At 38.8% G+C, this 26,150-nt stretch overlaps 1 long non-coding RNA gene and 1 pseudogene across 2 annotated transcripts; one reads left to right on the plus strand and one right to left on the minus strand.

The window, feature by feature from the left end:
• On the minus strand, positions 1,338–8,095 carry MEP1AP4 (meprin A subunit alpha pseudogene 4; annotated as a pseudogene).
• LOC102724818 (uncharacterized) lies at positions 19,058–25,778 on the plus strand. 2 transcript variants are annotated; one of them, XR_428473.3, is made up of 3 exons: positions 19,058–19,143; positions 23,098–23,158; positions 25,464–25,778. It is a non-coding gene; the product is annotated as an uncharacterized LOC102724818 (long non-coding RNA). The 2 variants fall into 2 exon arrangements; XR_929694.2 differs by lacking the exon at positions 19,058–19,143 and adding an exon at positions 20,968–21,017.
• The last annotated feature ends 372 nt before the right edge of the window (positions 25,779–26,150 follow it).

Genomic DNA, 26,150 nt, shown 5'->3' on the forward strand with positions numbered 1-26,150 from the left:
ATAGCTTTCTTTAGGCCTAACTATGAGGTTAGTGGAGGGTTTGCAGGACTGTGAAGCACAGCAAGAAACAAAGCTGGAATCCATTTCCAATCTGGACTTTGGAGACAATACAACTGGGCTGGTGACAGGATAGCTTCCTATCTAGTCTGAACATTGAATAGTAATATTTTCATACATATTAAACTCTGAGATAGGTTCATATTCATTATCCCATTGTATTACTCTGCTACTCTGTAAGTAGTAAAGTCATGTGGAAGGAGATAGTCAGCTATTATTTCCATTTGACAAGTTAGTAAACTAAGATCAAGAGCTTAAATGATTTCTTACTAAAATTACCCAGCCAGCTGGATGGGCAATCCAAGCCTGCAGCCAGGATGCTTGGCTTCCAGACTTGTTTTCTATCCACTAGAGCAGTGGTTCTCAAGGTGTCTGTGAGGTGGGGGTTGTGGGGGAGTCAGTAGCAGTAGCAGCATGGCCTGAGAACTTATTAGATTCTGGCACATTCTTATACCTTGTTAGATCCTGGCACATTTAAGAATGCACATTCTTAGATCTCACCCTAGATCTACTGACCCAGTTTCTACAGAGGACAGGAAGATGTCAAAGTGGGAAGCCCTCCACATGCCATCACATGCATGGTCTGGGAACATCTGCATGAGGGAATCTCCCTGGTCCTCTTGGGTTGTGGTGACTTACGGAAGCTCTTGGGAGGGACCTGGAGGCTCTACTGAAAGTGGAGGTTTGTAAAGTGTGGGGCCCTGTAATCTGTTTTAATCAGTCCTCCCTGGGATACAGATGCACCTCAAGTTTGAGAGGTATTGCCCTCAGGGGTGCTGTTTTCACTTGCTACAAATTGTTCTCATACCTTTGCATTAAAGAAACTCTTGTTAATCTCTCATTTTGTTTCCAGTGCATTTTAACTCTACAAAATTGTCATAAAGTCTCTACTTAGGAAACCTTATAACTTAAAGGACCACTCAGAATCCCTAAAATATTTTTGTTTATTAAATTTCCTGAGCTGACTCATTGCTGATTGGGTATAGAAACTTTAGCTTTTTTTTTTCTTTTTTTTTTTTTTCCACTTGATCTATCTTGGAACTTCCTTGCCCCAGCTAGATTTTTATCTCCTTAGGAACTATGGAAAGAAAGCATATCTAAAAATACTTCTTTAAAGTTCTCTGATACCTTCTGTTTGTTAATATGATAATGTTGTACATAAATAGCTATAAAATATACTGTTAAACTTAAAAGATCTGGGAAAGAGCTTTTGAACACCCCCAACCTTCAACACACACATGCACACCCACATGTACATACAATACCAGATACAAAGAAGGTGCTAACTCAATATTTATTAAATTTATTAAAGGGCTTCTCTTAGAATCTCAGAGGAAAGCAAATGCTGTGAAGCCGGGCTGCCTAGAAGTACCTTTATTTGAAATCTTTAACAAGATCTTAAAAGAGTAATGACACTACTGTGTCTAATGAAAAATGAGTATTTGATTCTAACATATTCAACCTAAGAATTTCATCATATATATTTGATCTGCAATATAAATGAGAGTTTCTATATCTTATTCATTCATTTATTGTTTTATTCATTCAACCATTGTTGAGTGCCCACAATGTGCCAGCCATGCATCTAGGCACGTGGCCAGCATGGTCAATAACAACATGTGCCTGCCCTCATGGGGCTTACAGTCTATAGGAAAGACAGTCAATCAAACAAGTGGTTTACAATGAAGTATGATGAATGTTGTCACAGGACACACTAGATACATTAGGAGCACATAGCAGAGTAACAGAATTATGTGGGGCAGAAAGATGACAAGGGTCACACATGGGGCTGGAGGCCTTAGACCTTGGAGGTCCTATCCAAAGCAAGGCTGATAAAAAAGCTGCCCCAAACTGCACTGACCATTGGAAGGTAAGGCCTGCATGGAGGAGGTGCTGCTGTGGTCTGGCCAATGCCAGCAGGCAGGTCACTTCCTTGGCCTTTGGGAAAGGATGGCGATGATGGAGAAGCTCAAGAAGATCACACCAGCCGTGCCTCCGATCACCATGCCCAGGACGCTGCCGTGCACCTGCATGGCCTGACAGCGCTCCCATTTAGAAGAAAGCATGTCCAGAGATGCATCTGAGGGAAAAGGACATGAAGAGAGTGTGGGAAATCCCAGGCCTCAGGTGCCTCCTAGCAACACTCATCTCCACAGCAATAAAAATGGCAAACGCTCACTGAGCGGGTCCACGTGGTGCCTGGTCCCATTTCAAGTGCTGTATATGGACCAACTAATTTAACCCTGCAACAACTTTTGAGGTGGAGGCTATTACTTGGCCATTCTCATCATCTTCATCTTACAGGAAGGTTAAATAATTTGCTCAAGGTCCCATTGTTAGTAAGCATTTCACACTTGAAATCTAATCCCAAAAGGTATGCCTCCAGATCCAGGCTTCTCAGCCACCTAGGATTCAGGAGGACGGTCTGAGACACTTAAAGGAATACATTGCCTGACACTGGCTAAGAATACAAGCTACAAAGGAAATTCCCCAGATACAGTCTGACTTAGAGCATCAGTGGTAGCTTGAAAACGTCTAAATAATATTAAATAAAATGTTACTGTAAGGTTAGTGTGTACTGTCACTATCTCACAAGGTTGCCCTGAAGTTCACCTGAGATAATGAGGACACTGTACCTATCAAGGTATTTGACACAGAGTAAGCACATAATGGCCAGCCCTTAGTTTTGTTTCTTAATGTTATCTGGTATAAAGATGAATTAATCTCATAACCAAGGCATATAACTTGTAGTGTCTCATCCATACCTTTGTAAAAATTCCAGCCTTTGTTTCAAACATTCCCACTAGAAGGTCTACTCAGCAGAATTCTACAAGGCAGAGTGAAACAATCAGAAGTCAGCATTTTCTGGCTGGGCATGGTGGCACACGCCTGTAATCCCAGCACTTTGGGAGGCCAGGTGGATCACCTGAGGTCAGGAGTTTGAGACCAGCCTGGCCAAAATGGCAATACCAGACTGGCCAACATGGTCTCATCTCTATTAAAAATAACAACAACAACAACAAAAATAGCCAGACATGGTGGTGGGCACCTGTAATCCCAGCTACTCGGGAGGCTGAGGCAGGAGAATTGCTTGAACCCGGGAGGTCGAAGTTGCAGTGAGCTGAAATTGTGCCATTGCACTCCAGCCTGGGTGACAAGAGCAAAACTGTGTCTCAAAAAAAAAAAAAAAAAGAAGTCAGCATTTTCTTTTACTAATCCTGAATGATTTTAACTTCCAAGTCCTCATCTCTATCCTGAGAATTGACTTCTTAGAAATCAGTGAGTAATAGCAAGTTTATTTCATTTTTTTTCTGACCCAGTCCCCTCCAAACACAACTTCGTAATATCCCCTACTGTTATCTTAGAAAAACTTATTCTGCCAACTCTCAGCTGCAGGTTTCTAGGAGAGGAATAGTTTGGCTGAGTAGAGGCTGACATACAAGTGGCAACCCTGGCCTCCCTTAGCCTGGGAAGGATGAAGCGTGTTGGGGGCACACAATGGAATCTGGCATCTAAGGACCTGTCAGGCAAAGATATGAAGACCCATGGCTTTGGAGCCCAGAAACAGATGGGCCTTCCCCAGTAAAAGGAGCCAGAGGGCTTCTTGGAAGAGTGATTGATTCTATGGGTGGGGCAGGAAATATAAAAGATGAGCCTAGAGCATGCTATGGTGCCAGAAAGTAACATTGTGTTCATAAAATCTGATGTTGAAAGATCACAGGAGCCAACCTGGAAGAGCTCCCAAAGGCCAAAGCTGGGACAATAGAAGCAACAAAATAAATTATGAAATCATTGCAACAGAGCCCACTGACTAAAATAAATGTTTATGTTTATAATCGCATAAACAAATTAACGGGGTGAAGGGGCCATTCTCCTTTACAGAAGAATTCTAATTAATGAATGTGAAGGACATAGGAAATCAACATTAGAAGATCCCAGTGGTGAATATTGCAGCAGGTTGTATCAATAGATGCTGAAATTAGCATGTGAGGATTTGAGGAAAAGCAGGATGTCTCAATGGTCTTGAACTATCTCTCCCAAGATATGTATCAATTACAGAGGGAGAAATGGTAACTCTTCAGTGGAGAGGCCTGGTGGACATGCTGTTGGCCAGATGATGAAGGTTGACATCACCAGTAATTACATGTATCGGCATCATGTACCTGCTCACATGATGCAACAAGAAGGCACAGCACATATTTACTAATCTTGACACAAATGTGAAACCTCAATTTAATCATGAGAGAACAAGATGAACCAAAAAAAAATCCCTAACCAGTAATCTTCAAAAGTGTCAAGGTAATGAAAGACAAGAAAGAACTGAGGAATTGTCCCAGATTGGAGGGGATTAGGAGACAGGAGACATAAAAACTAAATGTAACGTGAGATCCGGAATTGGATCCTGAAATAGAAAAAGAACATTAGTGGGAGAACTGGGAAGAGCCGAATAAGGCCTGTAATTTATTTACTAGCATTCTACCAATGTTCATTTCTTGGCTATGCTAATTGTACTACGGTTTGTGTAATATGCCAACATTACGGAAAGCAGGGTGAATGGTATAGAGAAAGCCTCTGTAGTATTTTCGCAAGGTATCTGTAAGTCTAAAATTATTTCAAAGCAAAAGCTACAAAAAGAAAAAAAAGGAGACTAAAAAGAACTCAGAAGTAATGTAAATTTTTGAGGTAGGCAGAATAGCTCCTACATCTGCTACTGTTCAAATGGAACTGTTGCTTCTGTCATCACATACCTCCTTTTGTGAAACAGTTTTCAGGGTTTTATGCAAGCAAACATTATAAAAAGAACTATTAAAGTTCTTTTTAAATATTCAAATTTAAATATAGCAAACTGTACTGCTTTTTAATATTTAAACATTAAATATAGCAAACTGTGCTGCCAGACAGACCTAGATGCAAGTCCCAGCTTCAGCATTTTCCATCTGGGTACATTTTAGATAAATTACTTAACCTTTCTAAGCCTCAACTTCTTGATACACCAAATGGGGATAAGGAGAGCCCTTATGTCACAGGTGGCAGTGAGAATGAATTTAGATCATGCGTGTAAGATGCTCAGGAGACCACATGATGCATAACAAGGGGTCAGAAATATCAGGTGTTCTTACTACTATTATTGAAAACATAACTTTAATAATAGTGCAGTGTAAATGACAGACTGTATAACTAATAATCATTAGGAGCTAATAATAACATCTGTGTAGTCAGCAAAGATTTAAGCTTGGTCTTGAGACCCACTGTCATGGAGTAGAAAGTCCCTAGGCTAGAAGCCATCTTGGATGTTGTTAGAGTTAGAAATTCCAACAACATCCAAGATGCTGTTGACAATACCCCAGAGGAGGAAAAGGGGTGAAAGTCAAGAGACAAGGAGACCTGGGACGCCTCTGTCCTGGCAGCGTAAGCCCATGAATCCAGGGCACACCTTTGTAGAGTCAAGGAAAACTGCATCCAGCTGACCATCTGAGGTAGTCTTCGCCCTACTCTGCAAACAGCAGCCTTTACCAGGCATAAGCATGCACACGGCCCAGGTCTGCTGGCCTGCCTGTCTCCCCAGCCACAGAGCCTACCTGCACCTCGCCACCCACTTCAGGTTCACACAGATGCCATCATTTTGGCAAGGGTTTGGGTCACATGGGCCTCTGAAGTACTGTGGCCAGTTATGGTCCTCCAGGGGGCCTGTGTTCTTCACTGACGGCTTCTGTCAGCCGGGCTGCCCCTGGCTGAGGCTGACAGGTACGGCTTCCTCTAACATGGCCTTTCCTGAACCTTCTTTGGAGACCTGCTGCTTCTGGCCTTGGAGAATGAGGCCTTGGGGGCTCAGTCTTTTGCCTTTAGTGGGAACTTCAGTCTGGCTGAGGTGGGTGATATCTTCAGGAAATAGAGGGTCACGAGAAAGATCCAGGATTAGTAACTGACTACAGTGAACTCCCATTTCTGGTGAAAGTTCCCCAGCCTGCTTCTATCTCTAGTGATATGTCACCCCCAGTGACATGGAAAAGTGGCTTTGAATCCAGCTGATTCCCACGGTACTAGCTAGTTTTATTTTAAAGTAATCCAGTCACATTTTTATTTATTGAATTTGCAAAATGAAGCATAAAGTTAGCATGGATAGACTGATGGAAACTAAATTGAAATCAGTGAACTGTTACCTCTGATAAAATTTTCAAAAAGATGACACTAAAATTTCAGTTTCTTTCAGGGACAGTTAAAATAAAGATGTGAGTCCTTGACCAATTGAAGAAAATGTGGTTCTCCTACAACACATTTTTTTTAACCTCATCCCCACCCTCCATGTGTGCTTTAAAATCAGGATAAAATCAGTAGAGTGCCAAGAGCATAGGATTATTTACTCAGGAAGACCAAGAAAAGTACCTTCAAAGTCCACAAACATGATGAGGTCATCATTTTTCAGGAAACTCCTCCTTTTCAGCATTTGGTGGGAGATGAAACCACTCCAGCCAAAGTCAATGCTTCTAAAACAATTACAGTCAGCATGATAGGTTCCCACCCTGGACGGCCTGTCCCAGATGACAGTGTCATTTGTCACTGCAAAATTGTAGGTAACATAAAATCACATTACCTCTTTAGACTTCACTTTCCAGTTTGTCTTTTATGAGGATACAGGGATTTGTGAATCAGAAAAAAATAAATAAATAAAAATAAAAATAAAAATAAAAAAAGTGTTGGAAAAAAATTAAGCTATTTACTCTTTCCAGGAGAATTGCAATTCAGAATTGAAAGATGGGAGAGGCAGAGAATCACAGCTCTGAGTGATCAGTTGTCTGCTACTGCGTGACTTTTTTAACGAAAAGAGAGGGACAGCTATGGCTTCTTTCTTCTGAGGCTTAGGTCTTCTCTTTTGAAAAAAAAAAAATAGTGCCAGGTGTGGTGGTTCATGTCTGTAATCCTAGCACTTTGGAAGGCTGAGGCAAGTTGATTGCCTGAGCTCAGGAGTTCAAGACCAGCCTGGGCAACAGGGTGAAACCCCTTCTCTACTCGGGAGTCTGAAATAGGAGAATTGCTTGAACCTGGGAGGTGGAGGTTGCAGTGAGCCAAGATTGCGCCATTACATTCCAGCCTGGGTGACAGAGCGAGACTCCATCTCAAAAAAAAAAAATATAGTTTTCCCATTTCTTTACTGATGTAAGTTTATTTCATGAACATAGTGATATTGAGTGCTATTTTAGGAGTAAGTACATTAGCTCTGCACAGAGCCTAGCAAGTTCCGAGTATTTGATAAATGATTAGCAGTATCTGTTTCCTCAATCACAATGAGATCAATGAGGCAGGGATCACCTGATTCACTTGTATTGTAAGTACCTAGCACAGAGTTTGGCACATGGTAAGCCCTCAACAGATGTTTGATGAGTGAATTTAGGAAAGGGAAGGAGGATGTGATGGCATTGAAAATCTTAACTTGAAACTCCAACACGCCTATGTTATCGGTATTCCCAGGCGGAAAATGTGAGGAGAACGTTACTCTTTCTTGCACCACAGAATCACATCTGTGGGCCTCTCTGGTTCGAGGGGCAGTTCTTATTTATGCCAACACCACCCACCTGGAGATATGTGCAACTTGGAGGTAGTGAACACCAAACTTGAGGACATCCTGTTCCTGACATCAGGTCCTGGTCGAAGATGGTAATTATCACCTGTCTGTTTTCTACCGGCCACTCCAGGATAGCATCATTCTCCCCACTGCACATGTAAAAAGCAAGTCTCAAATAGCCAGAGCTTTCTCTGCCATGGGGGTATAAAGTTAACCCAAAACCGCATCCCTCTGAATTGTAGAATCGAGGGCTCTGAAGCTTGTCCACTTCGCTGGTGTTCTCAAGGACCTGGGAGAAATTCTGGACTCTCCAGACCCCTGTGGGGCAGGGGGTTTCTGTCAAGAGTGATGTCATCCAGGTAAATTCCCCCAGTTGAGTTCCGAGGGTCGCCTTTTGTGCCCTGGAAAAGTTAGCGAAATTCCTGTTCCTCTTTGAGTACCACATGGGCAATTTTCCAATTATGGTCATCATCTCCTGAGGACAGAGAACAAGGCTGGTGAGAATTGTGGCCAACACTTAATGAGTACTTATTATGAGTGTGGTACAGTGCCATGTGCTTTCCATAAATGTTCTCATTAAATCCCCACAGCAGCCCTATAAAATAGGTACTATTATGAACTGGTTAAGTAACTTTTCCAAAGTTACATATTTAATAAGGAAAAATGGTTTTTTTAAATACTATGATTTATTTTAAAATTCACATTCAAATCTTAACCATGAATTTGTTTTCCACTATCACTATAAGAATCCAGGTTCTGAATTTCCTCCTGAGTTGGCTGGTTCAACTGTAACCCCTAATGTTAGCAATGAAAGCCCATTAGGCTGAATCGTATAAAATGAAACCGACTCCCTCTCCAACATCTAGACTTTTTTCTCTTCCTTATATTATCTGAAAGTTCAGCATGTAGGGCAGTGAAGTAAGCCAAAGAGAGTACTATTGTCTAGAAATTCACATTCTAATAAAGATTAGGTCTACTTGCTTTTTCTCTGAGCATGAACTGGAAGTGGGACTTTTGAATTAAGAGCTGAAGAAAGATGGTGAGAAGGCTGTCCTAGAGCATGGGATCCTGGGTTGAACAGCAGAAGAAGCCAGGCAGGAGCTTGGGGGCACTGGAGAGAGGAAACTGAAAGCAGAGCAACTCAGTTCCGCAAAGAGATGCGCCTACACTGATATTTTTGCACAGGACATTCCCTAGAGTTGGGCTTGAAGAGGAGAGGAAAAATGCTTCCAAGTGGAAGTCACATTGGCTAAACTGAGTTCCTACAGATGAGTGTCTTTTTTCCTTCTTCTGTGTCTTTTAACCAGAAATCTACTGACAGAACTATACTTTCCCTGAAACAGAAAAGACCTTTAATCTCCCTTTGTTTTCAGACCATTCTCTCTAAGGACAACTTCAAGGGACAGGTGTACCAATGTTATGTTTCCTAGGGTGGAGCTGATTATGGCCTGTGTGGTTAGGTTACATGGGAACATAGGAGAGAGGTAGAGAAGGCACACGACCACCTCTGTAACATACAAATCTAGGTAGCTGCCATCTCCTGGGGAGAGCACTGCAACCTACTGGAAGACACATGGACTTGAAGGGTAATAGGTGCCAGAAAGTCTAGGAATAGGAACAGAGATACAGCATTTGAACTATTTATCCAGCAGGTTATAGATCACGGGAATTCTGTCAAGAGAGTAGGATTCCGTTCCTGCTGATGAGTACCTGCTTTGTTTTTTCTTAATATAGGATGTCCAAATGAGGTTGAGATGGGGGAATTTGGCACTGGGAAGGAGACCCAAGAGGGTCACATAAAGAACACTAAGTGATATTCAACTAACCTTTTTGAAAAGTTTCATTGACAAACCAGTATCAGAACAGACTACTTTAAAAATCCTTTCATACAGTGTTCCCAGGGACCGTACACAGGCATACTCTGAATTCAATGAAACACAAAGCACAGCAGTGTAAGAAACTAAATTAATCATGGGATGTTTGCTTGATTTTATGCTTTGAAGTAACACTGAGCTTTAGATGAAAGTGAGTGATAATAGGTCCCATCAATATTATTGAAACTCTAACTCATTTTCTCATTAAATATTTACAATCCTTGGTAACATAACACATCCTCAACTCTTAAAGAGTATCTACCTGTCATCCTTTCATCATATAAACTATGATAAATTTCAACCAGAAAAGTGAACCCCTCAAAACTGTGATTTGTAGAGTTCCCAGGCAGCCCAGAGTGCCTTGGATATAGGGGATTTGGGCACCTGTTCTTACAAGTGACCTCTAAAGAAGGTTTCTCCTTCAAGAGCAGCAGATATATAAAAAATAATTCCTTTCTCTGGACTCATTTCAACTGATAAATGCCAAGGTAGGCAGTTGGATGCTAGGATAATCTGGCCATAAATCATGATTCAGGGTTATAAACAAAGTATATGCTTTATTTTGTTGTGGTGGTGGTTCCTTCATAACTAGGAAAAGGGAGACAAGCTTTCTTACTTTTCAACAAAAAGTTTCTCTATCTATACTCATTTACATGCTGACCTTCTTATATAAATACACAAAGTGACTCTTAGGAACATGTAAGTGATTATAGGAAGTTAACATATACCAATGACTTATTTGCCACCAACTTTATAAGTAGGCTTCTAGTTACTGCAGCATATTAAATAATGGTATCATTTGTTTTTCTGAAACATGCAAAACACTGGGTCAATTTTTTTTTTTTTAAGATGGTGTCTTGCTCTGTCGCCAGGCTGCAGAGCAGTGATGCAATCTTGGCTCACTGCAACCACATTGCTACCACTGTAGCCGAGCTGTGGTCTCTGATGTCACCACCAACTGCAGCGAGGTAAGCCACGGAGGCGCAGGCTCTGGCTCCAGCCTCCAGCATGCAGTGGTGTCTCTTCCTTCTCCTCGTCTTCCAGCCTGGCAGGAGAAGCTCCCGCTGCTAGCCTCCCTCCTACCGCTCCGTCACCAACACCACCAACAGGGAGGCAGCGCCCCAGGCTCCAGGCTCCAGGCTCCAGGCTCCAGCCGGTGAAAACTAATGGACCCTTCTAGTTCTCTAACCCAGGTACCTAGCAGCTGGACACACCGACACAGAAGACCCAAAAATGACGCACCACTTCCTCAGCATGCTTTATATACTGAAGTTACGGATCCTGGACTACATGTTCTGATTGGATGAGAGAAAAACCTCTAGGCCTACTCTGATTGGACTTTATTTTCATGCTGTGATTGGTTATCTTAAGACTTGCTCTCATGCAATCAGAACATGAAGTCTAGGAACCGGCATGCGCATAACCTCCGTATATAAATGATGCTGAAGAGCCGTTACGGTTTTTTTTTTTTTTTTAGGGTTCGGTGTTTTACTGTTGAGCTGCTCAGTGCCCAGCTTAGAGGACCAGGAAAAGGAGTCACCGGCCGTATGCTGGAGGCTTGAGACACGGCACAGAGGCGCAGCTCGCCTCGCTATGGTTGGTGGTGGCAGTGGAGATTGCGATTGCAGCGCGGCTGGAGGGGTAGGAAGAGGAAAATAGTTTTGGGATAGATAGAGGGGTGGGTAAAGAGTTTGGTTATTGCCAAAGGGAAAAAAGGATAGCGAGGAGGAGAAGGCATTGCAAAAAGATGATGGGGAAAAGATGGTGGGGAAAAAAGGTTTTGGGTAGATGGAGGTGGAAAGACAGGTTGTGGAGCGGGAGTGAGGGAAGGTTTTGCAGAAAGACGGTGGATAGGAAGTTTATGGGTGGATGAAGGGGGAAAAGATGGTGGCAATTGGGGAGAGGAGAGAGTGGTGAGGTGGGGGAAATGGGCGAGCAGTAGGGAGAGAGGGTTTTGTGAAAAGACAGTGGGGAGAGAAGTTTTTGGGTAGATAGAGGAGCAGAAGAAGATAGCAAGTGGGAGAAGGAAAAAGAGGGTAACTAGCGGGAGGAAGACAAGGTTTTGCGAAAAAACAGTGGCAGAAAAGAAAGATGGTGGAGAAAAGATGGTAGGTAAAAAGTGTTTGGGTAGATGGAGGAGGGAAAGAGGGTGACAAGGAGGAGAAAGAGGGTGGCGAGAAGGGAGCAGGGAAAGAAGGTTGGGAAAAAGACGGGAAAATAGTTTGGGATAGATGCAGGGCAAAAAAAAGGGTGGCAAGCAGGATAGGGGAGAGAAGAGGACGAGTGGGAAGAGGGGGCAGACTTTGTGAAAAGATGGGGAAATTTTGGGGGGTAGATGGGGGGAAGAGGGAGGTGAGCAGGAGTGGGGAGAAGGCTTCGAGAAAAGATGGTGGGGAAATGTTTTTGGGTAGATGGAGAAGGGAAAGAGTGGCAAGGAGGAGTAGGAGGAAAGACAATGAGGAAAACAGTTTTTGGGTAGATAAAGGGGGAAAAGAGGGTGGTGAGCAGCAGGAGTGGGGAAAAGGCTTTGGGAAAAGACGGGGGGAAAATGTTTTTGCTTAGATGAAGGAGGAAAAGGGCATGATGACAGCAGGAGGGGGAAAAAAGAGGGTGGCCAGGGAGAAGGGGGAAAATACGGTGGGAAAAAACGGGAGAAAGTGTTTGGGTAGATGGTTGGGGAAAAGCGTGGTGAGCGGGAGAATAGAGAAGGCTTTGCGAAATGACGCGGGGTGGGGCGGGGAGAAAACGAAATGATGGTGGGGAGATAACGGTGAAAAAGTTTGGGGTAGATGGAGGAAGAGAAAGGGTGGTGAGAGGGAGAGGGCGAAATGCGGTCGGGAAAAGAAGGTGGGGAAATGGTGGGGGATAGAAGTTTTGGGTGGATTTTTAAAAATAAGATTATTTGTATTTTCACTTTTGAGTAGTTTGAGTTCTTTAGATATTTTGTGTATTAACCTCTTGCCTGATGCATAGTTTGCAAAGACTTTCTTCCATTCTCGGGTTCTGTCTTCATTATACTGATTGCTTCCTCTGCTTTGGAAAAGGTTTTAAGTTTAATGTAATTACATCTTTGCTTTTGTTGCTTGTGCTTTTGATGTCTATTTGAAAATTCCTTGTCCTAACCAATTTCATGAAGCATTTATCCTATGTTTTCTTCTCTGGTAGTTTCATAGTTTCAGGTCCTGTATTTAAATCTTTATTTTGAGTAGATTTTTGTATATGGTAAGGTAATGGCCTGGATGTATTCTTGTACATGTGGGTGTTGGGTTTTCCTAGTACAGTTTATTGAAGAGATTGTCTTTCCCGAAGGTGTGTTCTTGGGGCCTTTGTTAAAAATGAATTGACCGTAAACGCGTGAATTTATTTATGATTTCTCTATTCTGTTTCACTTGTCTATGTCTGTCTGTCTCATTCGTTCATCTCTCTTGTCTCTCCCCCGCCCCTTTTATTGATAGTACCATGCTGTTTTGATAGTACCATCCTTACTATAAATTTGTAGTATATTTTGAAATCAGGTAGTGTGATGCCTCCAGCTTTTCTTTTTATTCCACATTCTTTTGTCTATCTGAGGTATTTTGAACTTCCATGTGAATTTTAAGATTCTTTTTCCATTTCAGTGAAGAATGTCTTGTAATTGAACATGGATTGCATTGATTCTGTAGATCACATTGGGTGATACACATATTTTAACATTCTTCTAGTGCATAGAGATGGGATATCTTTCCATTTACTTGTGTCTGCTTTAGTATCTTTCATCTATGTTTTATGAAGTTTTCATTTTGGGATCTCTTGCCTTTTTGGTTAAGTTTATTCCTAGATATCATTTTTTTTTTTGGTAATGAAATAGCTTTCTTGATTTCTTTCTTAGATATTTCACTATTGGTCCATGGGTGTAGTATTCATTTTTATATTTTGATACTGTATCTTGGAACTTGACTAATTTATTATTTCTAGTAGGTTTTTTGTGGAATCTTTAGGGTTCTCTCTATATATGTTCATGTCACCTGGAAACAGACAATTTGACTCCTTTTTTCCAATTTGGATGCCTTTTATTGCATTCTCCTAATTGCTCTAGCTAGGACTTCCAGTATTATGATGAACAAAAGTGGTGTAAAAGTAGCCACACTTGTTCCAGATCTTAGAGGAGAAGAGCTTTTAACTTTTCCTTATTGATTATGTTAGCTGTGGGTTTGTCATATATGGCCTTTATTGCACTGAGATATGTTCCTTCTGTACTCATGTTGTTGAGTTTTTATCATGAAGGAATGTTGACTTTTAATTTTTTCAGCGTCTACTGAAATGATTATATGGTTTTTGTTCTTGATTTGCTGAATGTGATGTTGCATATTTATTTATTTGTGTTTATTGAATCATCCTCATATTCCTGGGATGAATGAAATCCACTTGATCATGGCAGATGATCTTTTTATTGCGTTGTCAAATGCAATTTTCAAGTATTTTGCTGAGGATTTCTTACACCTCTGTTCATCAGGGATATTTGCCTGTGGTTTCCTTTTTGTGTTGTGTTCTGGTCTGGTTTTTGTACCAGGGTCATGCTGTCCTCATAGAACAAGTTTCGAAGCCTTTCTTCGTCTTCATTTTATGGGGAATATTTTGAGTAAAATACATATTAGCTCTTTTAAAAATGTTTGGTAATTCAGCAGGAAAACCATGATTCTTGTGTTTTTCTTTGCCAGGAGACTTTTTATGACTGCTTTAATTGCATTACTCATTATTGGTCTGTTCAGGTTTTTTATTTTTATTTTTTATCATTCTATCTTGGGAATTCGTTATGTGTCTAGAAATGTATTCACTTCCAGATTTTTCAATTTGTTTGTGATGTTTTTAGTAATCTCTTAATGCTTCGTATTTCTGGGTTACCAGTTGTAATGCCTTCTTTATGACTTTGTTTTCTTTTTCTTATCTAACTTCATCTAGTTAAAACTCGTCAATTTTGATTTTTTTTTAAAAACACCCCAGCTTTTGTTTCATTGACTTTTTGTATTTTTTGTTTCTATTTTTAAAATTTCTTCTCTAATCTTTATGGTATTTTTTCTGCGAATTCTAGCATTTGATTGTTCCTGTTTTTCTCATTACTGGAGGTGTACCGTCAGGCTATTTGAGATCTTCCTACTTTTCTGATGCAGGCATTTATAGCTATACACTTTTCCTCTTAGAATTGCCTTTGGTGCATCCCACAGGATTTGTTATGTTGTGTTTCTATTCTTACTTGTTTCAATAAATATTTAATTTCCCTTGTGTTTTCTTCATTTCTTTTATTGGTTGCTCATGGGTGTGTATTTTAATTTCCATGTATTTGTACAGTTTTTAAAGTTCTATCTGTTATTGATTTCTAATACTATTCGACTGTGGTCACAAAAGATACTTGATATGAATTCAGTTTTTAAAAATGTGTTGGATGACCGAGGCGGGATCACGAGGTCAGGAGATTGAGACCATCCTGGCTAACACGGAAAAACTCCGTCTCTACCAAAAATACAAAAAATTAGCCAGGCGTGGTGGCGGGCTCCTCCGGAGGCTGAAGCAGGAGAAAGGCATTAACCCAGGAGGCGGAGCTTGCAGTGAGCCGAGATAGTGCCACTGCACTCCAGCCTGGGAGACAGAGAGAGACTCCACCTCAAAAAAAAAAAAAGTGTTGTGACTTGTTTTTTGGCCTAACACAGTCTGCCCTGTAGAATAATCGATGTGCCACTCAGTAGAATGAGCATTGTGCAGTTGCACAGTGAAAAGCTGTGTAAATGTCTGTTAGGTCCATTCTGTATAGAGTACAGTTTAACTGATGATGTTTTGTTGCCTGGATGATCTGTCCGTTCGCGATAGTGGGGTGTTGATTACGGTGGAGTGTTGAGGTAATCTATTATTGTATTGCAGTCCATCTGTCCTTTAAAGCCTGTTAATATTTGCATCTATATTTAGGTGCTTGAGTGTTGGTTGCATATGCACTTAACGGCTGTTTACTTGTTTCTCATTTATATAATTATCTTTATTTTTTCTTTTTTTGAGTTAAAGGCTATTTTATCTAAGTATAGCTACTCCTGCTTTTTTTGTTTCCATTTGTATGGGATATCTCTTATCATCCCTTGACTTTGTCTGTGTATGTCTTTATAGGTGAACTGAGTTCCTTGTAGGCAGGACATAATTGGGTCTTTTAATCCATTCAGTCACTCTGTCTTAATTTAATTTACATTCAAGATTATTATAGATAAAAACATACTACTGCCATTTTTTACTTTTTTGATTGTTTTGCTACTTTTTCTTTTGTTCTTTCTCCCTTCCTCTTTTCTTTCTGATCTCTTTTTACTTCTTCTCTTTCCTCCTTGCCTTTCTTCCTGTCTTTATTTGTAGTGAAGTAATTTTTTCTGGTAGTGTTTTAATTCCTTGCTTTTTATGTTTAGAGTGTCTATTGATTTTTGTTTTCTGGTTACCATGAGGCTAAACAACATAATTATAACAAGTACTTTAAATCGAAGAAAACTTAACTTTGATGGGTCTCAGCTACTCAGGAGGCTCAGGTGGGAGGTGGGAGGACTGCTTGAGCCTGGGAGGCCGAGGTTGCAGTGAGCTGAAATTGCGCCACTGCACTCTCCAGCCTGGGTGACAGAGTGAGACCATGTCTCACAAAATAAATAAATAAATAAAAATGCAATAGTTTTATAGTGAATTCTGATTGTAAATTTGGAGATGATATATTAAGGTATAAAGAGGAAAGTGAAAATCATAATCTCATTACCCGAGGATAACTGCTTCTAATGTTTTGGTACATACGCTTCCTAATTCATAATCCCCTCTCTCTTACACACACACAAATGTACACGTAAAATAGATAGACTTTACACACATATAATTTTATTGTAACATTTTCAGAAACACGGTTTTGTAATTTTTTCTTTAAAAATATTGTAAATAAGTTCTGTGAATAACATATAATAATATACATCTTAGTTTTCAGATTTTGTTTTCTGCTCTTTGGGGTGGCAGGTTCGCTTTTTGCTAAAATGAATCATCTCAGTATCTTTGATTTTCCTTCTCTCCTCTAAGCTGTTGCTTTTGGAAGGGGCGCCTGGATCTCCCTCCTGTTTACTTGGGGGCAAACACATAGTGTCATGGGGTTTTGAAGACACGTTGCCTGTGCCAGATAGCAACACTGATTGTAGTTCTGAAAATATTAGCGTTTTTGTCCTGTGATTAATACTAAGATGTAAATGAAGTGGTTTAGATCATTGTAGCAAATGACCTAGATATAACTCTGTGTGTGTTTTAGATCATTGTAGCCAATGATTTAGATACAACTCTGTGAGTACCTTTTAATTAAGAGCTCAGGATTTCTACACAGTATGTTCATTGTCTGCTTTATTTGTAGAAGCGTAAAAGCTGATACTTGGGTGATGTAAGAAAATGGATAGGTTTTACTATCACAAGGAAAAGGTATTATCCATACACTTTTGCCAAGGAGGCATGGGTTACTTAAATTGGCTTCTGGATATTGGAGTTTGGGTATGATAGCCTTACGTTGAATTTTTTGGTTACTGCTTGATAATATTTATTTCAGTAATTGTGTTTAGTAATTGATTGTGTGTGTTAATGAACAGTCCTGTCCTAAAAGCAAAAATGAAGTGGTTGAAGGGAGCATGAATTGTTAACATCTCCTTTAAACAAATAGGCTAGGTTAAAATTTTTTTACAGAGCTTTACAGTATTACATGTGAGTTTATTACACTATTACATGTCAATAAAAATGGCAGCAGAAGCTCTCTTAACTGACTTGCCAGATGGATTAGATCTCTCCATTCACTCAATAAAATGTCCATTTTATTGAGTTTTAATCCATTCAGAATCCATTTAGAAATACTATCTTATTTAACCTGTACCCTGTTTCAGCTAGCAACTGGATTATGAGTATGTGTATTAAATATTTTAGAAGACAGATTCTTTTAAATAAAAATTATCACACAGGCTGTCTTAAACTTTTAAAAAAGAGATCTGATTTTAGATTTGGTTAAAATACTAGCCTACATTAGTATTCTTTCTAGGAAATAAATATTCACATAAATTGTTTTTCCAGAAATTGGCCTTGAATACAGATTTCAGATCGTTGAAAACGGAACCATTTGAAATCTGCATTTCCTTTCCTTTTCCTAATTTATTTCAGTCGCTCAATAGGATTTTCTCATGGAATTAACTTTTCCCTCTCAGCATAGTTACATAAGCTTGCTGTTGTAATCATGAAAAATAATTACCCATTTCAGCACTTACTAACGTGGACTTTACTTGAAGGGTCTCTGGTTTTAAAGTCAGAGCACATGGCTAGAGGCAGATGAAGAGTACCTCATCATTCATAGCCACTGAGTCTCTATAATTTCTAAATGCCTTTGGAAAGCTAGATCTCATGCTCAAAAGCATGCTTTTGTGTTACAAATCTTTTAGTGAACTACTTACTCAGGTCATAATGCTTTTAAAGCCCTGCTTTTCTTTCCTCAGAATAAACTGAATTACATGTTACCAATAACAATGCCACATCATTTCAAAGGAAACTGAATTAAGTAATCCAAGTCCGGGTTGCTGAAAACTAGATGACACAGGGTAGGCATTGTTTTGGTTACCGTGCAAAGGATCTCTATTAGTCAGCTTGGGCTGCCATAATAAAATACCATAGAACTGGGTGGCTTAATTTTCTCACAGTTCTGGAGGCTAGAAGCTGTAGATCAGGGTGCTGCTGCTTCGGTTCCTGATGAGGGCTTTCTTCCTGGCTTATAGGTTGGCTGGCATCTTGTCCTCACATGCCAAAGGGGAGAGTACTGTAGTCTCACCTTGTCTTATAACGACACCAGTTCTATCAGATGAGAGTCACACCCCATGACCTCATTTAACTGTTAGTACCTCCTCACAGGCCCTGTCTCCAAATTTAGCTATATTAGGGATTAAAGATTCAACATATAAATTTTGAGAGGCACAAACATTCAGTCCATAAAAGAAACTAGTTGTTTAATTAACAAGGATTGTTGAGCCCTGATATCTTGTTACACCTGCCTGTGTCCTTCCCCCATTCCCCTCCACTCTCATTTCCTCACAAACACTCAGATAAGGATTTTTTTCAGATACTGTTTTTGTTACTTATCCAACTACGTAGTAACATTATGAATTATAAATGTTATTAGCCATTGAGAAAGTAGCTGTGCACTGACTGACCCCAATTGACTGGGAGGGCTAGATGGTGCCTTCTCTGTGGTGGAAGATAGGTTGGAGAAATGTGGTTGGTAGCAAATGCTGTCTGATTTGAACAGCTTTAAAGAAGGCTGGTTCTAGTTGATTTCAGTTCTCTCCAGATGCCATTTGAATCTAAACCAATTTTCTAGTTCTTATCATTACAGAATTGTCTTCTGGAACAATTATTTCTTTTTGTTACTTGGTAGCAATATGGATGTAGTTTTCTGAATCATTAAGGCATTTTAACTTATCTTCCATTCTCTTATTTTTTAAGTCCTTTAGGTTGTTTGAGGGACATTCATCAAGGAAACCGGATAAACTTAAAACGCTCTTCCACTTCTTTGGAACAGTCACAGAGAAAAGTGAACTCCTTTCATTCTTGCAGTAATTTTTCTTGCTGATGGGAACAGTTCAAGTCAAGTGACATGTGAGGAACATTTTGTGTTTAACGTAAACCTTCCTGTCCCAACCACATTGAAACAGTAATGATGCGACAAGATAACTTCGGTTTTATGCTTGTGTATAAGCATAAATGTGTGCTATAAATGTAGGGGGGCGGGGTTTACATACTCTGAAATCGGACACATATTCTCTGAAATCTGTAATATACCTCAAAACATTTTCATGAATAAAAACCAGAGAAAGTATATTGACCAGGAAATAAATTTTGGATGCTCTTTATTTAAAGAGGCATTCACTAGTTTATTTGTATAAGTCAACTAACGCATTGCTTTTCTACCCATTCCTCTCTTTTGTGCCCCCCTAAGCCCTTTGTGGAGTTCTCATAAAACTGTTTTGTACTGAGTTTTATATCCATCTTCCTCTATTAAACCTTAACATTCTTGCTTCCCCAAAACCTGATAGCAGCTGAGGCAGTAATAGTAAATGTCCAACAAATACTGGTAATGACCAGCTGATAATAGAGTGGTATTGCCACTCTTATCTCAGAAGCTGAATGACCGTGGTCAAGTTTCTTGACACCTCTAAGCTTCAGTTTTATCACCTATGAAATAATATAATAATGGTTATTACCTTACAGGGTAGTTATAGATATTAAACAAGGAGATACATGCTTAATAAATGTAAGCTATTATCAATGGGTAGCCTTTCCTACAAGTGGATGTAAACCAGAACACCTTAAAAGTTTCTTTGTACTAAGTAGGTAATGTCAACCTGCTCAAGTGAAATGGCTTTTTTTCAGTTCTGGGTTGTAGGATTGTCTTAAAACATGTCTTTGAATAATTTTAAGGTCATTTTTCTCATATCCTACTTTTACTCTTGCATTACAGTGTACTTGGCATCTTCCCCCTTGAATGTATTGCTATTGGACACTGTTAAATTTTTAGAATGAAATCAATTATCAGGATTTTGATATTTAAGGGAAAATTATATGCTTCTCTGATATGGAATTATTTATCTCATAGCTTATTGAATTTCAGTTTTGTGCCCTGTACTGAATGAAATATTAAAATGCAGAATCATTTGGACCTATGAGACACAAAATTAAATTAGAATTTGTAATGACTTGTTAAAAAGATGACTACGTAAGGCCAGGCGTGGTGGATCACGAGGTCAGGAGTTCCAGACCAGCTTAGTCAAGATGGTGAAACCCCGTCTCTACTAAAAAAATACAAAAATTAGCCAGGCGCGGTGGCAGGAGCCTGTAATCCCAGCTACTCGGGAGGTTGAGGCACAAGAATCATTTGAACCTGGGAAGTGGAGGTTGCAGTGAGCTGAGATTGTGCCACTACACTCTAGCCTGGGTGACAAAGAGCAAGATTATGTCTAAAAAAAAAAAATGACTACTTTTTTTGGCTATTCTAGGTCTAAGTAGAATTATTACTGTTGGTCTTTTTTGTTTTGTTTTTACAGTACTTTGAGTTGCCATTTTAAGTAGAATTGTTATAACTAAGTAGTACAGAGTTTACTTTTTTGTCCTGGGAGTCAAATCATGTATGTCTTCTCTAAAAACTAACCTGGCTTTCTAAATTTTAGGATTTCAGATACTTTAAGGAAAAAGCTAAAAGTTTGTTTTTTCAACTAGAAATGTATATGCCATTATAAGTATTTGGAATTTGAAGAAATAAATTATAACTAGACATTTTATTTTCTGACTTTTTTACTGTACATGTTAATTAAGTTCTTTGTAGAAATACAGTACAACATTGCTCTTGGTGTGCAGTATGTAAAGCTAATGGTTTAAAGAGGAAATCCTAAAGAGAATAAAAGAGGTTGCAGTGTAATGAGTCATTGTGTAGAAGTTCTGGAGCCTACTCAATAGACTTGAGAAGCTTATTTAAGGTACCATATTTCATCAAATCTAATCTAAGATGTCATAGATTATTTTTAAAAAGTGCTATTACATTATATACCTCTAAGAAGGAAAAAACACTCAGGACAGGGAGTTTAGTAGGAGACCTAACCCACAAGGCTGGTACACCTAGGGATAAATGAGAAATTAACTTGACCATCCAGAAAAGGGACCATAAAGAAGCGTGCAAGTCTCAACCTTGACACTAAATAGAGAAAGAAAAAAACATTTCTCTGAGAATTTGAACCACAAGCCCTAAGCTTTGGGTGTGCAGCCTTACCACCAGTGTGGTCCACAAAGGATTAATTCAGATGGTGTTGGGCTGATAGTGTTCCCAGATGACAGCAGAAGCAGATGCACATCTTCTCTGGGAAAATTCTCCTCTAGTCTAGACCTATGGTAAGATACCTCCATTATAAAAGATGTATTCCAGTTTCAGAAATGTAGTATGTGGAAAAACCTGCCTTTTAGAATTGATAGAATAGAATTCCATCAGGACCAACTTTTCAGTGTTGTTAAACGTGTATTTTATATTTGATGAGGATCTTGAGACTGAAATATTTTAAAAAGCCTTCCGAATTAAATTACTTTTTATATAGTTTTAGATAAAGTATCTTATAGATCAGATTTTTGAAAATTTATGACCTGTATGTAGTATATATTGTGATTTTATTATGGGAAGTATTTGATTAATCAGAGTATCCTATTCTGAGATGAAAGTTGCCTTGTTATGAAAAAGAAAGCTAACAGACGTGCTCTCAAGGCATTTTTTCTTAATCTAAGAAACCATGTTCTTCTGCTTTTTCTTGCTTTGCCAGCAGTGTTTATGAATTTCTCTTAGCATCTCTTAGTATATATAAAGGACATTTGATGTTCTTACTTCTCTGCTAATACCGAATGACAAGAGAGATGTTTTCTATTATATTCATGGAATTGTGTTTCTAGTGTTAGAGTTGTTTGACCACTTACTTGTGAGTTTTAAATACGTTATCCGTTTATGTTAAAGTTAGATATCTAAAGAATGTAAGACCCATGTTAACAAAAAATTTTGTTTTCTTCTGCAACTGCTCCATATGGTTTTTGAGTGGTTCCTGCTTTTGACTGAGAACAAGGAAATGTGGAATTGTGCACAGGAATGAAATGATGGCCAGGCTTTCACTGGGTTATACACTGTCATCAGTAATAGTTCCTGACATCTCTCTCTTTCCTTAAGAGCTTTTTTCTATTCAAGAAAACAGAAATGGCATGGCCTTTTTAGTTTGCTCTTTGATTTGAATCAGACAAATTACTTCTGGCCAGTTGATATATTTGTTTCTTTTGCTACTAGCTTTAAAAAATAAATAAATCTGACTAGAAAAGGATCTCATCCTCTTAAAATTATTGACTACATTAATACTACTCTATTTTGATCCTCCCAAATTTATTGCTTCTTGAAAAATATGTCATCTTTATTCTGTAAACTCTTAGAACCAGTAATTTCTTCTCTGGCTAAGACTGCTACTAACAAGTAGAGTGATTGCCCACTATCTAAGCCTGAAACTTAGCTTTACTAACTTCAGAGGATGTGCAAATGATTTTCTTTTTAAAGCTGTGGCATTTCACTTTACTATAAAGTACATAGATGTGTCTTTATTCACCAGTCTTTGAATGTAGGGTTAAGTCCTTTCTTTGTAAAGGAGTCTACAAATTTGAATTCAGTTTTGTCTTTACTGCATAAGCTGTACCAGTTATACATCCTTTTTTCCAATGGTTTTTTTTTGAAGTGTATTCAGCTTCAAAACTTTACCAAAAAGTACCAGCACTCAAATCCTACTGTTGTGCTGTTATTTGTATAGTTTCGTTTAGTGAAGTCTTACTGTTTTATAGGAGTTTCTACTGTAAGGATAATATTTTCAATCAATATTCTGTTATTTTCCAATGCTAGGCTTTGTATTTCCTGGTTGGTTTTATATTCAATGTTAGACCTATTCTTTTATCGAGTGTGTGTGCGCGCACATTCACGTGTGTGTGTGTAATGTTTTCAAAATTGAAACTTATTTTGGGTATGTTTTTCTTTTATTGCTTCTGTAGAACCTACTGGGTTGGTGACATTTACAAGACAGAGTCTTGAGGATTTTCCAGAACGGGAAAGGTAACAATAATAATAAAAATAGTCCTAGACCCCTAGAATTAGAAGGACTCTTGCACTATGAGAGGATTCTATTTTAGAGCACCTGGAAAGATGGTTTTCCAACCTCTATCCTAGTGCCAGGGAATTTCTTCTCAGAAGTGATCCATCGATAGCTCTCATTTTTGAAAAGGTTATGCCTTTTAAATCAAAGTCTGTAACCCTTTGATTTCTACCATTTTGTCTTGGTTTTGTCTTCTGAAAGAAAGCGGTGTTTAAAATTGAGGAGTGTTGTATGTGAAGACACTAATAAAAGGAACGCCAATATATAAACGTTTCTCCTTACCCTTTTTTTGGTTAGTGTTTGAACTTTACGGCTTTTCTTTCTGGAGGACAAGATTGAGAAAAGTCTTTTTATTATTTACATTTTAGTAAATAGTAACCGTCTAGAGTTTGAGTGGCAAGAATTTTGAAGTTTGGCTGCCCTTGTGTACTACTGGTAGATTTTCTGGAAGTTGCTATTTACTGTTTGTTTCTTATTTATCAGAAAATAATTGAGGAGATAGCAGCCAATCTGAGCTAATTCAGATATGTAAGGTCCTTAGTGTCCTGAAATAGTTAACATATTTCTTAATCTAAAGCAAGTCCCCCAATGCACTTAAAGAAGTGTGGATTAACTTTTTAAATATGTTTGAGGACATGGTGAAGCATACTAAACACATATTTAACCAATGCTTCCCATTTTCACTTTCTAATAATTTTATGATAGTTTGTAATTGTTTTGTTTGGAATTAGTGATGAATGGAAATCACTTAAAAAAAAAAGTTGAGAAGTCATATCTGCTTAGGTGGCTTTCCTGCGGTGTTTTCATCCATCAAAGATGTTTATTTGTGAAGTGAAAGATAAAGAAATTTACTTCAGAAGACTGAGTGTATGGTTCAGGTGATTATTAATAGAGGGAAGTAGATAAAAGATTAAGAAACCTGAAGAGAGAAAAAAAAATGAGCCAGAAAAAGATGAGAGCATGTACAGCATTTTGGCATCATGCCATGTCAGATCTGAAAGGAACCCCAGCCGCCTACTAAAACTCTTGATAGCTCTGTAATACCTGCAACAGTTGGAGACTCGATAGCTTCAGTGATGGCAAATCCGCTGTTGCACATCAGTTTGTTCCATTGGTGGCTGCTTGTGTTATCATCTCATGCTTTCATTCACTAAAAATGTTTTCTACATTCATTCTCCACTATTCCTGGTTCTTCCTTCTAGAGCTACATAAATAAATCTGAATTTCTAGTTTTCTTTAAGATTTGACCTTCCTTCATGTATCTTAATGGCTTCTTGACCTACTTTCTTCTCCAAAAGTGCATACAAGTTCATACTAAACTGATTCATTTCTTCTATTTCACATGTAATATGGAGTCGAAACCCTTTGTCTCTGCTCTTAACAGAGTAGATTGGTTGCAGTTTCTTGGGTGCAGGAATGAAAAAATGAGTACATTTGCCTCAGCCTCCCATGTAGCTGGGACTGTATAGGTGCATGCCACTACACCTGGTTAATTTTTGTATTTTTTGGTAGAGATGGTGTATCACCCTGTTGGCCAGGTTTGTCTCGAACTTCAGACCTCAAGAGATCTGCCTGCCTTGGCCTCCCAAATTGCTGGGATTACAGGCATAAGTCACTGCGTCTGGCTTGGGGGAGTTACTGTTGAAGTATTGTCTTTGTATCCCAAAGAAGGCCCTTCTGAAACTGATGATGTTGATGAAAAACTCCTTCTACTGAAGTCTTTGCAATGTATAATCTTTTCACTTCCATTTTCCTACATACTGTTTCTATTGGTTCCTTGTATTCCACAGACTGTGTTTTAGTATTTATAAGTATAGTGTTCCTTTTCTATGTGGAAAAGGGAAAATGTATTGGCCTTTTTTTAACATATAAATGAACTTCACAAGCAACAATTTTTCAAATCAGTTTTCCCTGTTGTGAATCTCGAAGTGGGTACATGATGCACTTTCCCATTTAAGGTAAAGTACACATTTATCCCTTATCTCAGAATAGTCAGAAGTCAGGTTCTTATTGTATGGTTAGTAATGCAAATATTGATAAGGTCATGTCAATACTTAGTATTTAGAAGAATTCTGAAATAGCACTTGTTACTCTGTAAGTTTTATGCATTTATTACTTTTTTTGAATTTTTTATAATGTTCCCAAACTTGACTCTCTCATAGGCTATTAGTAATAGGTTTTACTTCTATCTCTTGTGGCCTCAAGTACACAAGATGTATTTTCTTTAGATTTAGCATATAATATAAATTCAATTGTTTATTTCAGATTTTGAAAGAACAAAGAGGAACTACAGAATCATTGCTTACATTGACACCGGCCCTATTGTCCCAATGGATGGGTTTTTTTTTGGATCAATGTCAAAATTGACCCTGCTGTTAAAGCTTGAAACTTGGATCTGTTGTATCTGAGTTCTCTCCTCAAAAAAAAGACCTTCAGGAAGTATCAGATAACTGAAACATACCAGATCACAGCACCACATGCCTCCTGCCCCTCCCTAATTTCTGTTCTCTTATACATTGTTAAATTTCTTTCCTGCCCCTATTAGTCAAGCCCATGGATTTAAGACTGAGCTCCCAGCTCCTGGGCTGCAGCACCAGGTTAAAGCTTTCTTCCTTGGCAGTACTTGTCACCTCAGTGACTGGCTTTTTCTCCGATGAGCAGGAGGACCTGGACAAAACCCCTGGTGTTTGGGTAATAACATGAATGACCATCTTAACTGTTATTCTTTATTGAAATTTTACTTTTTAACTACTGGCCTCTTGTTCATTATCTCCCATTCTTTTGACCTCATATCTCTTTTTTCATTGACTTTACAGTCAAGGAACTTGATGCTCCCTAAATCCAAATATTACGGTTAAAAGAAGAGAGAGGAAATGTGTGCAGAGAAAGTGTATTTTACAAATGAATTAAAGATGGATTCTGAGATACAGGTTTATAGATTTACCTAGAGTT

This window comes from Homo sapiens, chromosome 9 (assembly GCF_000001405.40).
Source record: "Homo sapiens chromosome 9, GRCh38.p14 Primary Assembly".
NCBI lineage: Eukaryota > Metazoa > Chordata > Mammalia > Primates > Hominidae > Homo > Homo sapiens.